The sequence below is a fragment of the Homo sapiens genome, chromosome 6 (genome assembly GCF_000001405.40).
Source record: "Homo sapiens chromosome 6, GRCh38.p14 Primary Assembly".
NCBI classification, from domain to species: Eukaryota; Metazoa; Chordata; class Mammalia; order Primates; family Hominidae; genus Homo; species Homo sapiens.
This window is the reverse complement of record NC_000006.12, coordinates 30,485,450-30,497,570: the sequence shown is the minus strand read 5'-3', so window position 1 is coordinate 30,497,570 and position 12,121 is coordinate 30,485,450. Positions and strand designations below refer to the sequence as shown.

Sequence of the window (12,121 nt, the reverse complement as noted above, 5' to 3'; positions counted from 1 at the left end):
AAACAAAATCCTCTAAGTGATCATTTGCCTTTCTTTCTTTCTTCCTTTCTTCCTTTCTTTCCTTCTTTCCTTCTTTCCTTTCTTTCTTTCTCTCTCTCTTTCTTTCTTTCTCTCTCCTTCCTTCCTTCCTCCCTCCCTCCCTCTCTCTCTTTCTTTCTTTTCGAAGCGCAGTTTCACTCTTCTTGCTCAGGCTGGAGTGCAATGGTGTGATCTTGGCTCACTGCACAACCTCAGCCTCCTGGGTTCAAGCGATTCTCCTGCCTCAGCCTCCTGAGTAGCTAGGATTACAGGCATGCGCCACCACGCCCAGCTAATTTTTTATTTTTAGTAGAGACAGGGTTTCTCCGTGTTGGTCAGGCTGGTCTTGAACTCCCAACCTCAGGTGATCAACCCGCCTCAGCCTCCCAAAGTGCTGGGATTACAGGCGTGAGCCACCGCGCCCAGGCTTCATTTGCTTTCTTATACTGTTCATCAAGATATATTTAAGGTCATCATGAAGACAAGGTTACATCATTTACAATATATGGAAGTAAGTCCCAGCCCCCGTTAAGATCCTAGTCTGGGCTAGCTGGCTGAGAGGGGCTGTTAAAACTCTAGTAATAGGAATAGCTGTCTCCCTGTCATTCTGCTGCTATGGCAGATGCTTTTTTCCTCTAGGACCACTGACTTCTGGAGATCTATGATTCATAACCTTGTGGCTAGAAATGAGATGTCAAAAGAGGACAAGATCACTCGGGTTCCTCCTTCCCTTGGGTTCCCTCTCCTGGGCCAATTAAGAACAGGCACATGGAGAAAAGAACCCAGAATTATCCCATAATCACACAAAGATCTGTTCACATACAATGGCCCAAGGAGGCAGGGCCTGCCCATGAGTCACCATTATCTACATAATGCAGCCTAACTATCCTGTTTTGCTTTTAGCTATTCAAGACTTTTCCGACCATGGGGAAGTCCCATGGCATGGGCTGTTTTCCCAACAGTATCTTGACTGAATCACTGAGTGTCATGCCAGAGGAGTGGGACCTGGTTGACCCCTCTTCCCTGGTGTCCAGGTGCCCAGGAACCCCTATGTGGTAGTGGGATCCAGATCTAAGAAAGCACAGCTCTTGTGTGGCCTCATGGGGAGTACATGCCTCACTGGGCTGGTTCTAAATTGTTCCAGGGTCAAGCCAGGAGGCATAAAGAACCTGCTCTTTCATCTTCCAACATTTTTTTTTTGGTAATAACCCAATTCCCTGATTAAAACATCTACAGTGGTGTCTTACATTTTTCAAAGCATAACTCAAACATTTTTTCCTTTAGAAAAACCTAAGTCTCCTAAAACAGGGGTTCCCAAGCCCTGGGCCATGGACTGGTACCGGTCCATGGCCTGTTAGGAACTGGGCTGCACAGTAGGAGGTGAGTGGCAGGTGACCAAGCATTAGCGCCTGAGCTCTGCCTCCTGTCAGATCAGCAGTGGGGTTAGATTCTCATAGGAGTGTGAATCTTATTGTGAACTGTGCATGCGAGGGATCTAGGTTGCTCGCTCCTATGAGAATCTAATGCCTGATGACCTGTCAGTGTCTCCCATCACCCTCAGATGGGACTGTCTAGTTGCAGGAAAACAAGCTCAGGGCTCCTACTGACTCTACATTATGGTGAGTTGTATAATTATTTCATTATGTATTATAATGTAATAATAGAAATAAAGTCCACAATACAGGTAACGCGCTTGAATCATCCCAAAACCACCCCTCCGAAAAATTGTCTTCCATGAAACCGGTCCCTGATGCCAAAAATGTTGGGAACCACTGTCCTAGAAAACATAGTTTCCTCCTTGACTTTTGGCATTTTGTACGTTTCTTTCAGCGCTAACCACAATAGTTATCTTCAAGTCTGTTTATTCATTGTTACTAAATCTTAGATTCCTTCAGCGCAGGAACCTTTCTCGCCCCCTAGTCCCACCCTGGACCTCACAACATTCTTTGAACACAGGAAGGGTTCGATAAATATTTGTTAAAGATCCCTTGGAGTCTGGCTTAAAAAGATTTAAGATCTAAAACTGAGGAAGGCAGATCTTTGAGGTGAGGCAAACATAGCCTGCCGATATGGCAGGAAGTAGAAATGGGCAGACCAAGTAGAGAAGGAAAATAGTTCTATACTCCTTATGAGTAGTATATAGGAGTGGGATAAAAAGTAGGATATAGGAGTCCAAATTTCCATCAAATCTATAGATTGATTTTCTTTGCATTAATTAAGACTTCTGGTGGAACGTGGTGGCTCATGCCTATAATCCCAGCACTTTGGGAGGCCAAGGTGGGTGGATCACCTGAGATCAGGAGTTCGAGACCAGCTGGCCAACATGATGAAACTCTGTCTCTACTAAAAATACAAAAATTAGCTGGGCGTGGTAGCAGGCGCCTGTAATCCCAGCTACTTGGGAGGCTGAAGCAGGAGAATCACTTAAACCTGGGAGGCCAAGTTTGCAGTGAGCCAAGGTCATGCCATTGCACTCTAGCCTGGGTGACAAGAGTGAAACTCAGTCTCAAAAAAAAAAAAAAAAAAGACTTATTTGTTGTTGCTAAAATGCAAAGATTCTGGGCTTATGAAGAAACTAATACTCCAGTAGGAATGCTTGAAATAAAAATATCTACCACTAACTGAAACCTAAGTATCAGGTTGCCCATCTTGTGTTGCTGTAATATAATACGCAGACTGAGTAATTTATAAAGCAAAGCAGCCTATTTCATGGTTCTGGAGGATAAGAAGTCTAATATCAAGATCCCGGCATTTGGTGAGTCTTTTTGCTGTATCATCTCTTGGTAAAGGCAAGTGGGTGAGTGAGGGCAAGAGGTTGAACTTGCCTCAACCTCAAGCCCTTTTATAATCAGTATTAATCCATTCATAAAGTTGGAACCTCCATGGCCAGCCAGCCATTAGGATTCACTTCCCGATATGGTTGCATTGTGGATTCAGTTTCCAACACATGCTTTTTGGAGGACACATTCAAACCACAGTACAGGTACTTTATATTAGCTTTATAATGACTCTCCCAAGAAAACAGTGCCACGTACAAGATGAGGAACTGGAGCTCAGACAGGTGAAGCCCCACCGCGTGTCACACAGGAAGAAATGGCAAAGTAAAAATTCACACCCAGGACTCCCTGGGCTTTCTCACCGCACATGTTGCCTTCTTACTGGATATCACCTGACAGAATGAGACTCAGGTGATTACAGGGATTCACCAGGAAAACGGGAAAGTCGGCATGACCAGAACTAGAACATGGGCCAGTGAATGCAGTTCTGGGTGGACCATGGCATTGGAAGCCAAAGGATAGCTTGAATGTGGTTAAAAAATTAAAACAACAAGGCACAAAACGCACAAATGAAATACAAATGATGCTCAAACACAGCTTTTATTTTACTTCAAAGTTTACCTCAGATCAGCCTGGGAAGGTGAGGGGAATGAAGCAGATGCTGTTAAAGGGTCATGGGAGAGAAAAGGTATCTGTGGGAAGAGAATAATCTCTTTTGACTTCGTGTGCTGCCTCACGGACACACTGGAGCAGGGATTGGGCCCCCAAGGCCTCAGGTAGCCCCGTGCCTGTGGCTTTGCTGGGTGCAGCCTACGTGGCTGCTCGAATGGGTTGCAGGCTGGTGCCTAAAGCTTTCCCAAGGGGGCGCTGCATGCTGCCACTGACTCCACAGTTCTGGGGTCCTGGTGGTGGTCAGGTCCTGCTCCCAGCGCTCCACAAGGCACTCTCTCCTGTGGCCTGGATCCACTAGACACTAGACATTTCCCTGGTGGGGGCCCTCTGTGGCAGCTGCACCTCACATTTCCACTTAGCATCACTCTAGTGGAGGCTCTCTGTGGGCTGGGCATGCTAGCTCAGTTCTCTTTTCCTCTTCTTATAAAGCCACCAGTCCCATTCCTGTGATAACCCATTAATCCATTAACCCATGAATGAAGGCACAGCCTTACGATCCAATCACATCTCAAAGGCCCCACCTTTCAGTATTGCCACATTAGGGATTAAGTCTCAACATGAGTGTTGGAGGGAACATTCAAACCACAGCAGTATGAAAACAATATTCAACTCCAAGGTATATGGTCAAGATTACAGGTGGTAAGGAATAGGCTAGAGAATAGGAATAGGCTAAATTTGCTAGAGATGTGCTGTGGAATTATCTGTATTTCTAGCTATGATCTTAGCTTCCTCAAGTCCATTTCATTGCAAGAATATGAAAAATTAAATTGAGATCCAGGTTCTTTTTTTATTTTTCAATTTTTATTTTTTGAGATGGCGTTTCACCCTGTCACCCAGGCTGGAGTGCAGTCGCACAATCCTGGCTCACTGCAACCTCCGCCTCCCGGGTTGACGCCATTCTCCTGCCTCCGCCTCCTGAGTAGCTGGGACTACAGGCCCGTGCCTCTGCGCCCAGCTAATTTTTTGTATTTTTTAGTAGAGACGGGGTTTCACCGTGTTAGCCAGGATGGTTTCGATCTCCTGACCTCGTGATCTGCCCTCCTCGGCCTCCCTAAGTGCTGGGATTACAGGCATGAGCTGCCGCACTCTGCCCAGGTTCTTATTTTTAATAGAAAAGAGAACAGGGAAGGAACACAGGTCAGTGTGAGGAAGGGGGTCATGGTAGACACAGAGGTGGACTGTTTCTCTACCTCCTCACATTGTGCTAACAGGGACACAGACAGATTCAGAGGCCCTTGCAAAAAGAGAAGCCAGAGTCCCCTAAGACACATAGGGGAGGCGTGAGGAAATCCTGCATCTCAGTCGCACACAAGGCAGCTGTGCATCTCAGTCGCACACAAGGCAGCTGTCTCAGGCTACAGAAGAAAATAGTCATGAACAAATTCAGGTCAGTCACGGTAAGTGATGACACTCTGAACAGCCCACCACACACTCAAAAATTCTGAATCAAAAAATCCCCACAACCCAGTCCTGTCCCCTCTGCCCCACCCTCCACCCACTTCAGACCCCCAGAATCTCACCTTTACAAGCTGTGAGACTCAGACCCCTGGGCACTGTCGCTCCCTGGGGTAGAACAAAAACAAGACCTGGTCAGAGCCCACAGGAGATGTGGTGCAGGAGGAATTATAGGGTGGGCGAGCTCCTCCACGCTCCCGCCCCGCACTTACACTCAGCCTTAGAGTAGCTCCCTCCTTTTCCACCTGTTGGAAGAAAATGTCCTGTGAGGGGCCAGGGAGGAGGCAGGGCCATAAGGTCCTAGAGGAACCTCCTAGTTTTGGATCCCAGAGAAGTTTCCTGAACTGTGACTGCAGACCCAGGGCAGGATCAGGAAACGTGAAGAAAGCAGGTGTGGGTCCTGGATCAACTGCCCTTCTGAGGTCTGTCTTCAGCAGGGACCTTCCCCTGTGACCTGTGACTGCTGGGATCAGGTCCCCATCACCACAATCGTCAAGGTGATAAATCTGTCCTTCATTGTCACAGGTGCTTTACAAAAGAGTAGGTGCGGCTGGGTGCGGTGGCTCACGACTGTAATCCCAGCACTTTGGGAGGCCGAGGCAGGCAGATCACAAAGTCAGGAGTTCGAGACCAGCCTGGCCAACATAGTGAAACCCCATCTCCACTAAAAATACAAAAAAAAAAATTAGCCAGGTGTGGTGGCACGCATGTGTAGTCCCAGCTACTAGGGAGGCTGAGGCAGGAGAATTGCTTGAACCTGGGAGGCGGAGGTTGCAGTGAGCTGAAACCACGCCATTGCACTCCAGCCTGGGTGACAGAGCCAAGACTCCGTCTCAAAAAAAAAGAGTAGGTGCTGGCACACAGGGCCCCAGGCTGGGTAGGCTCGTGTGTGTGGATGGTGCTTCCCAGTAACGAGGCAGGACACACTTTTACCTAGGGCTTGAAACACCCAGTGGGACAAGAAAACTCAGACCCCACCCTTCTCCCTTCCCCACCTGAGCTCTTCTTCCTCCATATCACAGCAGCAACCACAGCTCCAGAGACCACAGATCCAAGGAGAACCAGGCCAGCAATGATGCCCACGATGGGGATGGTGGGCTGGGAAGCCGGCTCTGGGAAAAGAGGGGAACGTAAGGGGCCCTGACCCCCAGGCCTCAGCCCTGACCCTGCGGAAGGGCTCCAGAAGGGCTCCCGCTTTCCCTGAGAAGAGACATGACCTCCCATCCCCCTCCTTACTCCATCTCAGGGTGACGGGCTCGGGTAGCCCCTCATGCTGCACATGGCACGTGTATCTCTGCTCCTCTCCAGAAGGCACCACCACAGCTGCCCACTTCTGGAAGGTTCCATCCCCTGCAGGCCTGGTCTCCACGAGCTCCGTGTCCTGGGTATGGCCCTCCCCATCCTGCTGCCAGGTCAGTGTGATCTCCGCAGGGTAGAAGCCCAGGGCCCAGCACCTCAGGGTGGCCTCATGGTCAGAGATGGGGTGGTGAGTCACGTGTGTCTTTGGGGGCTCTGAGGGGAAGAGTCAGAAAATTCAGGCACTTTGTATCTCTCATGGGACACTCCAGCAGCACCCATGTGACCATCCTGAGAAGGAAGAGGACAATTATAGTAGGAGAAGAGGACAAAACCTTGACACCAGCCTGGACTTAGGGATCTGGGATAGCCTCTTATTCCTTGGAAAGTTCTAGAATCGGGATGAGCTAGCCCAGGGTAGAAGGTGAAAAGGGATTTCTGGTCCTGGCCTGTGTGGATGCTGAGTGACTGAGAAAAGCTGGAGTCAGACCTCCAAAAACTCTTGGTGTGGGGCTGAGAATCAGGCACGAGAGAAACTCCCCCGTGATTCCTAATACTGGGAGTCAAAGAGAACTGCTCATCAGTTCATCTGAAGGATGGAATCTCCAGCGAGACTAGATTCCTTAATTGCCCCTGAGAGAGGTCTGGCCCTTTAAGAGAGTCACTCTGTGGTATAGGATCTCCTGTACCTCAGGTGACAGCTCCCTCTCCTGATCCAAGGGAGGAGTGGTATTCTGGCCTCCATCCCTGTTTCTTCTACTGTTTGAGGTCTGTCAGCTGTGGGCACAGTCCTAGCCCAAGAAGGAGATGGGAGAGTAGCCCTGTGGACCCTCTTACCCAGGTGAAGCAGCGTCTCCTTCCCCTTCTCCAGGTATTTGTGGAGCCACTCCACGCATGTGTCTTCCAGGTAGGCTCTCTGGTGCTCCGCCTCAGAGGCATCATTTGACTTTTGCTCGGAGATCTGAGCCGCCGTGTCCACCGCGGTCCAGGAGCGCAGGTCCTCATTCAGGGTGAGATAATCCTTGCCGTCGTAGGCGAACTGTTCATACCCGCGGAGGAAGCGCCCGTCGGGCCCCAGCTCGCAGCCATGCATCCACTGCAGGGTGTGAGACCCTGGCCCCGCCCCTTAGTCAGTCCCGCCCACCAAGCCCCGCCCCCGTCGCCACCACCCTGTGGGCATTTTGGCCTAAACTGAAAAAGAACCGGGTAAAGGCGCCTGAGACTCTCCCCGGTCTAGGGTCTGGGCGGGTTCCGCAGCCTTGGGGTGAATCTGGGACCCGAAGATTCGAGGGGACCCGCGCCGTCCGTGGGGGATGGGGAGGGGTCGTGACCTGCTCCCCTGGCCGGGGTCACTCACCGGCCTCGCTCTGATTGTAGTAGCCGCGCAGCGTCCGCAGATTCACTCGGAAAATCTGTGCGGTGTCCCTGGCGCTCCGTGTCTCCCGGTCCCAATACTCTGACCCCTCCTGCTCCATCCACGGCGCCCGCGGCACCATCCTCGGACTCGCGGCGTCGTTGTCGAAGCGCACGAACTGGGTGTCGTCCACGTAGCCCACAGAGATGAAGCGGGGCTCCCCGCGGCCGGGCCGGGACACGGAAGTGTGGAAATACTTCAAGGAGTGGGAGCCTGGGGGCGAGGAGGGGCTGAGATCGGCCCGACCCTCCTCCCGGCGCGGCTCCCCGAGTCCTTCGCCCCCGCCGGGCCGGCCCCTCTCTACTCCCGGTAGAGGCCGTTTCCATCCCGACCCCGCACTCACCCGCCCAGGTCTGGGTAAGGGCCAGGGCCTCCGAGAGGAGTAAAAGGAGGGTTCCATCTACCATGATCCCAGCCTCTGAGTCCTGAGAACTTCTTGAGTCCGGATGGGGACTTTATAGTCGGGAGTCGTGGCGACGCTGATTGGCTTCTCTAGAAACCCGACACCCATTGGGAATGAGAACTGAGTCTGCGTCATGAGTATCCAGGAAGAAGGACACATGACCAGGTTACGAGAGGAACGGGAAACTGCAGAGTTTCCCAGCAATCAGCAGTTCTTAAACTTTTAGGTTTCGGTATCTCTGCACACTCTTAGAAATTAGTCCTGGCTGGGCGCGGTGGCTCACGCCTGTAATCTCAGCACTTTGGGAGGCCAAGGCGGGCTGATCACCTGAGGTTGGGAGTTCGAGACCAGCCCGACCAATATGGAGAAACCCTGTCTCTACTAAAAGTCCAAAAAATTAGCCGGCGTGGTGGCGCATGGCTGTAATCCTGGCTACTTGGGAGGCTGAGGCAGGAGAATCACTTGAACCCAGGAGGAGGAGGTTGCGGTGAGCCAAGATCGTGCCATTGCCCTCCAGCCTGGGCAACAAGAAAAAAGAAATTAGTGAGGACCCAAATAAATTTTGTTTCTGTGGATTGTATCAATTTTTATCATATATAAATTAAAAGATATTAAAACAAAATATTAAAAATATTAATTCATTTAAGAGAATATTAATAACCCATTACATGTTAATAGAAACAACTTTTTTTTTTTTTTGAGTCAGAGTCTTGCTCTGTCCCCAGGCTGGAGTGCAGTGGCATGATCTCGGCTCACTGCAACCTCCTTCTCCCGGGTTCAAGCGATTCTCCTGCCTCAGCCTCCCCAGTAACTGGAACTACAGGCGTGTGCCACCACACCCAGCTAATTTTTGTGTTTTTAGTAGAGACGGGGTTTCACCATGTTGGCCAGGATGGTCTTGATCTCTTGATCGGAAATAACATATCTTTAATGAAAAAAAACTTAATTTTTAATTTTTCCAAAATAAACAACGTATAGGCCGGGAACGGTGGCTCACGCCTGTAATCGCAGCATTTTGGTAGGCCGAGGCAGGCAGATCACGAGGTCAGGAGTTCAAGACTAACCTGGCCAACATGATGAAACCCTGTCTCTACTAACAATACAAAAATTAGCCGGGTGTGGTGGTGCGCGCCTGTAATTCCAGCAACTCTGGAGGCTGAGATAGGAGAATTGCTTGAACCCGAGAGGTGGTGGTTGCAGTGAGCCGAGATCACACCACTGCACTCCAGCCTGGGCGACAGAGTGAGATGTCTAGGGGGAAAAAACAAGAAACAAAAAACAAAAACAAAAACAAAAAAACAGGATCTGCTTCAAGAAGTTGCCTTTGTAGTCAAACCAGCTGAGACTCGTTACAACCAAGAGAGCCGGCCAAATGACTTCAAAAAGACCTCACGCTTCATTGTAATCCCGTTTCCAGGCTAAATTGCGCTCCCATCCATGCCATGACAGTTGACGATCTCCATGACGATGAGTAGAAGAAGTCCTAAAAGGACCAAAAGGAAAGCGGTATTACCAGTTTGGAGAAGTTCACTGCCTGTTCCCATAAAACATATGAATATTCCTCCCCCTCACTTTTAATGCCCAACCCCTTCATTAGAGCAATCCTACATTTTAGCCCCCTCACCCCTCACTAGCCGCCTCACTAGTGGAGAAGTTGACTTGGCAGAGCTGCTCTCCTCTTTACAAGTCCTGTGCAGGAAATAAAGCTTGCTCTGCTTAAGGCTCACTTTTGGTTTCATGTATTGGCTCTGCGACTCCCAGTGAGGAAAGATCCCACCTTCTGCAGCTACCAAGATTTTTGGTAACAAGAAGAGTGATTATTTTTCATTTTCATAAGTGTTGTTCTTGCAAAATTTTGCAAGCATCATTCTTGGCTCATAGCATACATTCTCTTATGTACTTATTTTTAAATTTTTAACTTTTATTTTAGATACAGGGGGTGGCCAGGCGCGGTGGCTCACGCCTGTAATCCCAGTCGGGAGTTCGAGACCAGCCTTATCAATATGGAGAAACCCCATGTCTACTAAAAATACAAAATTAGCTGGAGGTGGTGGCGCATACCTGTAATCCCACCTACTCAGGAGGCTGAGGCAGGAGAATCGCTTGAACCCGGGAGGCAGAGGTTGCGATGAGCCGAGATCACGCCATTGCGCTCCAGCCTGAGCAACAAGAGTGAAATTGTCTCAAAAAAAAAAAAAAAAAAAACCAGAAAAAAATAGATACAGGGGTTACATGTGCCGGTTTGTTACATGGGTATGTTGTCTGATGCTGAGGTTTGGGGTATGGATCCTGTCACTCAGGTAGTGAACATAGTACCCACAGGTAGTTTTTCAACCCACGTCCCCACCCTCTCCACTCTAGTCGTCTACAGTGTCTGTTATACACATGTTTATGTCTATGTGTGCTCAGTGTTTAGCTCCCAATTATAAGTGAGAAGATGCAGTATTTGGTTTTCTGTTCCTGCATTAATTCACTTAGGATTATGGCCTCCAGCTGCATCCCAGCCATTTTCTTACTTTGATTGAAGTGTATATGTTAAAAAATCTAGCCTTACACAAATATTGAGTTGAAAAAGGAAGGATTTTTTGTTTTTAGATATTTGAAATACAACTTTATTCTGATTCTAAACGAAAAGGAATGGGAATGACAGTAACAAACAAGATTTCACCGCTGAATATTGTGATGTGACTGTAGCAGTCTATATTTGAAACTCAAGGAATCAACTGTGTTCCAAAACAGCTAAATATGCAGGTCCAAACAATGAAGGTATTTTTTGAACTGCCACATTCACTGCGAAGCCCACTCATCTCCTTCAGCATCCCACAGATGAAGCACATGTTCCGCTTAGCTAGATAATAATGAGGTGGCACACACGCTGCACAACTGACATCACAGGACAGCTGCCTATAAAACTAGACTTCTGACGCTGGGCTCCAGCTTCATTCTCACAGGTCATCATCCTCGTCCGGGAGAGCAGTTGTCTGAGCAACCTCTAAGTCGTGCTCATACTGTGCTGCCAAAGCTGGGTCCATGACAACTTCTGGTGGGGCGAGAGCAGGCATGGCAACAAATTCCAAGTTAGGGTCTCCAATGAGCTTCCTAGCAAGCCAGAGGAAGGGCTTTTCAAAGTTATAGTTACTTTTGGCAGAAATGTCGTAGTACTGAAGATTCTTCTTTCGGTGGAAGACAATGGATTTCGCCTTCACTTTCCTGTCCTTAATATCCACTTTGTTGCCACTCAACACAGTGGGGGTGTTTTCACACACTCATACCAGATCTCTATGCCAGTTAGGCACATTCTTGTAAGTAACTCTCGATGTTACATCAAACACTATGATGGTACTCTGGGCTTGGATATAATAGCCATCTCTCAGTCCACTGAATTTCTCCAGGCCGGCTGTGTCCCATACATTGAACTTAACAGGTCCTCTGTTGGTATGGAACACTAGGGGATGAACCTCAACACCCAAGGTGGCTACATACTTCTTCTCAAATTCACCAGTCAAATGATGTTTCACGAAAGTCGTTTTTCCAGTACCACCATCACCAACCAATACAAGTTTGAACTGGACCTGGGGCTGTCCCTGCGCAGCCATTGCGGTGTTCCTTCCAGAAGCGTCTCCATGCCCGTCTGACTCAGGAAGGAAGGATTATTATTGCTGTTGTTTAGAGACAGGGTCTCGCTCTGTCACCCAGGCTGGAGTGCAGTGGCACCATAATAGCTCACTGCAGCCTAGAACTCCTGGGCTCAAGGGATTCTCTCACCTCAGCCTTCCCAGTAGCTGGAACAACATGTGTGAGCTACCATGCCCGGACTGGGAGGATTATTTTTAACAGCTTTTCATGTAATTGTGGATATTCATATTTCACATTACATAAAAACTGTGCAAGTGGTGATTTCTTTTTTTTTGAAAGCAAATAATCCATTTTTAATCCTTTTAAATTTTATTTATTTAAAACATTTTTAAATTTCAATAGTTTTGGGGGAACAGGTGGTGTTTGTTTACATGGATAAGTTCTTTAGTGGTGATTTCCAAGATTTTGGCGCATCCAGCACCTGATTAGTGTACACTGTACACAATGTGT

At 48.7% G+C, this 12,121-nt stretch overlaps 1 protein-coding gene and 1 pseudogene across 2 annotated transcripts, besides 1 other annotated feature; both read right to left on the bottom strand.

The window, feature by feature from the left end:
* Nucleotides 1–3,376: 3,376 nt before the first annotated feature.
* HLA-E (major histocompatibility complex, class I, E) lies at nucleotides 3,377–8,062 on the bottom strand. 2 transcript variants are annotated; one of them, NM_005516.6, is made up of 8 exons: nucleotides 7,976–8,062; nucleotides 7,576–7,845; nucleotides 7,056–7,331; nucleotides 6,159–6,434; nucleotides 5,918–6,034; nucleotides 5,135–5,167; nucleotides 4,988–5,030; nucleotides 3,377–4,822 (listed from the first exon to the last, which is right to left on the bottom strand). In NM_005516.6, the coding sequence occupies exons 1-7, from the start codon at nucleotides 8,037–8,039 to the stop codon at nucleotides 4,990–4,992; spliced, it is 1,077 nt and encodes a 358-aa protein (NP_005507.3). In that variant the 5' UTR covers nucleotides 8,040–8,062; the 3' UTR covers nucleotides 3,377–4,822; nucleotides 4,988–4,989. The 2 variants fall into 2 exon arrangements, with proteins under 2 accessions (NP_005507.3, XP_016866296.1); XM_017010807.2 differs by having other exon boundaries at nucleotides 7,576–8,062.
* Nucleotides 7,221–7,769: an enhancer, noted in NCBI's record as "H3K27ac-H3K4me1 hESC enhancer chr6:30457579-30458127 (GRCh37/hg19 assembly coordinates)". NCBI's record gives its function as "activates a minimal SCP1, AML or CMV promoter by ChIP-STARR-seq in naive H9 embryonic stem cells {active_cell/tissue: H9 hESC(naive)}" and the evidence as "EXISTENCE:reporter gene assay evidence [ECO:0000049][PMID:30033119]".
* On the bottom strand, nucleotides 10,595–11,686 carry RANP1 (RAN pseudogene 1; annotated as a pseudogene).